The following is a 3,840-nucleotide window of genomic DNA, read 5'->3' as shown; positions in this document are numbered from 1 at the left end:
AACTGAGGAATTGCTACTTTAACACTTTTGATATTTCACAGGGACTTGTGCCTAGTGTTTAGAACATCAGGTACATTACTTGTACTCTACAAATTGCAATGTGTTAATTTTATAGTGGTGGCAGGAAAAGGTAATTGCTAAGGCTAGACAACCTCAGAAGTAGCCTACATTATTTTTAGTGGATTCCCCAAAGAGTTTCCTTGTCAGGAGGAAAAGCTGCAGCAGAATAATAAAAACTGTGTGACAGAGGTAATAGACATGGAGAACAGAGAACAGAGATTCTAACTAAAAATTAAAAGCATACCAAATGAAGAAGCAAACAATTGGCATACCAAGCTATTTTCACTATGGTAGATTTATAATATATTTTAATAGCTATAAAATAGCTATCTATCTCTATATATGCCTACTTACTATATAAAGAATATTTATTTAGACTCATAAAATGGGCAGACTTAATATTCATTAAATATACATTATATAAACAGGTTAACACTTTTAGTTATTGCCTGCATTGAAAAAAAGTGAAAAAAGAACTTTAAAAATCAGTTAAATGCACTGACCTGAAAACACTGACATTTTTAACTTTCATAGTTTAAAGTCCAGGAAACACAGTTCTTGCATAGAACAGAAACACAGAGGAGGTAAAAAATGACTATTTAGAAGGAAGAATCTGAGAAATATTTTGACAGTGAGTACACATGACCTGTAATTGTCACACTTCATACTACATTTTTGTGCTAGCTAGCTTTTATTAAATAGAATAATTCAAGTTTTGAACTAGTTTCTTTAAAATGGAGCTCATTTTTGGTGAGAAACAATTCCCCTTTCTCCATTTCCATGCAATTTACACACTCCAATCTTCTGGAAGAAGCCAATTTAAAATGGCAACTTTGGAGTTATAATAAACTTTACGGATATGTTCAGTGAATTTAAACCTCAAATTTATTCCTAAATATTTTCGGAATGGATCACAGATTTTTCATCTCCTTTTTTTCAGATAATGCAGCAACATAATTCATTGATGGACTTTAGCTATTTGATTAATAGTGAAATTATTTTAGCCTTACTTTACCTGATTTACAGGGATAGGATTATTTTGCATTAGTTATGACTAATAATTATGGTTTGCCCAGAAGTTTGTGTAAAAGGAGCTTCCTTCTGTTCTACCATCTTCCCAAGTGTCTTTGCGACAGAGTGAAGACTTCTATCTTGTGACTCCAAGTCCTAGAACTGGGGTTTGGCAAAAGCTTTGTCTATGGATAGTCCTGCCTCTTTTAGCCATTGAAAAGCAGCAGCTGCAGCTGCAGATGAAAGGATTGTATTTTCATGAGGACAGGACACTTGGCCTCTCAGTGGCCCTTTCGTGCAATGAGCGTGAGTAGTTTTGTCTTCACATATGAAGAACATGCTTGTATGTTAGTATGTACATGTGTGCATGTGTTCATATGCCCAAGCATGCACACAATTAATCAAATATCATGTTGAATTATTTCAAGGTTCGGGTATTTGTTGATTTAAACTGCACATGCATTCAGGGGAGCATATTTCCCACAGGGTCAGATCACAATGGCTAAAGAAGCTTGTTTTTCTGGTTTGGTTTTTGCATAGTGCATTCATTCTCTTTTTAATTGGATCACTAGGGGGTTATTAACATTGCTCTAGTTGAGGAAATGGAAACCCAGTAGCCTAAAAAAGTCAAGACACTTACTAAACAACCTAGTTCATAGTAACATTTCTCTATCTATTTTCTTATTGGGCATGGGTGTCTACATGTTCCTGTGTGTGTGTGTGTGTGTGTGTGTGTGTGTAAATGTGTGTGTATGGTTCTACACTAGATAAGATTTCAAAAATCGTTAACAGGATACTTGGACAAATATTTTACTTTCTCTACCCACTAGACCATTTATGCAGTGCCTGACATCTCTATATTTTTCATAGAGATTCCACTGCTCTATCAAATCCAACTTTCCACGGAAAGTTATCTTGGCACAAATTTATGAAGAGTTAAGGTAAGAATTTTGGCTTCTTTGGCTCCAGTGGCACGATTGGTTAGTGCGCAGTACTTATAAGAAATTTTTGCTTATCACTAGGCAAAATTACAGATTCTTAATCCATGAATTTAACCAAGTCCCTTCCTTTCATTGAATGAAATAAATAAATAGCCTTTTAAGACCAATAATAAAAGAAGATATAGCCTGTCTGCCTCTTCTTAAAGGGTCTTCTTATAATGTATCTGAGAAAAAGGAATAGATCTGAAGTGTGGTTACCTCTCTGCTTTTGCTTTCTTTCCTCCATCCCTTCTAGGCCAGCCTTGGTCTCTGCTAACCACGAACTAGTCACTTCTAAAATTTTAGAACCATATCCTCTCTCAAAATAATACTTTGGTCTCAGCAGTGTGATAACATTGGGAAGGTCGTATTCTTTCCCTTCCTTAAAATTCCTCACTATGCCATCGGAACAAAGCTAGTGTCATTCGTGGTGGGGGGGGCAGGGCTGGTGGAGAGGGAATGAGAAAAATCACATAGCACACTGAAGTCCAGCAGAAAGGGTAAACTTTGATGAGCCAAGCCAGATCCCCTTCCACCTGTGTGAAGAGAAAATATGTCCTTTGTTTTTCCTGTGGTTTAGGTTAAAATATATGCACAGATACACACCAACATAAATATATACACAAACTACACACACAGACATGTCATGTGGTTATTGAGCATATGAATTACTGGGCATATGAAGTATGAACTATGGGCATATCAAATTGAGATATGCTATAAGTGTGAAACGCACATAAGATTTGAACACTTAGTATGAAAAGAGTAAAATATCTTATTAATTTTTAGATTTCGATCACATGTTGAAATAATATTTTGGATTATTGAATTAAAATATATTATTAAAATTAATTTCATCTATATCTTTTTATTCTTTTAAATGTAGCTTCTGGAAAATTTAAATTTATATATATATAGCTTGCATTTTATTTCTATTTTACAATGCTGCTCTACAGAGCTATATAATAGAAGAAGATTTTCCTAACAGCAATATAATTGGGCATAATTTCTGCTGTTAAACTTCATAAAAAGTAGTTGTAGTTACCATTTTTTCATTCTCCTACTTTCAGATCTTGTCAACAATGTACCTCAGAATAAGCTTTGAATTTGCAATTTCATCTTTATTTTAGATCAGATTAAAAGTTTAAGTAGCTAGACTTTCTTGTCCCAAGTTCCTATAATCAGAGGAGTAAATACATAATTTATTTTTCCATTCTCCCCAGACAATCTTTCCATGTTGGGCAGGATAGTGGTAGGGTGAATTGTTGGAATTTTATCAGATTATCATTATTTATTCTGTGTCAGCTCCTCCTCACAACTTAGCTCCGTTTGTTTCATATATATCCAAAAAGGTATTGCCACCTATATTTTAGGGATGAAAAAACTGAGGACAGTAGAGGTTAAATGACTTGTCTAAGGCCTATGGGTTAGGGAGTCCTGGAATTGCAGTTTAGGAGCCACGTCTTCATTCTTCACTGTGCTAAGTATCTTCAAGGCAGAAGAAATGCATTATGCATTTAACCTATGATCATAATATAAGGATCAACTAATTACTATTAGTTTGCATGTATATTGTACATCATATGGATGACGATATATTTGGCATTTTGGTCAATAGAGAGAAAACTGATTCCGAAAACCATAAAAATAAGGCTGCGAAATGGAAAATGACTCTTTGTGTTCAAAGGCAGTAAGTATGAAAAAAAATTCATACATAATTTGAAACAACAATGATTTTATAAACAATGAAATTAATTAAAAATCTTCAAAGTGAAAAATACCGTTATGT

This window comes from Homo sapiens, chromosome 6, assembly GCF_000001405.40.
Source record: "Homo sapiens chromosome 6, GRCh38.p14 Primary Assembly".
NCBI classification, from domain to species: domain Eukaryota; kingdom Metazoa; phylum Chordata; class Mammalia; order Primates; family Hominidae; genus Homo; species Homo sapiens.
The sequence above is the reverse complement of the archived record's forward strand: the minus strand, read 5'-3'. Positions refer to the sequence as shown.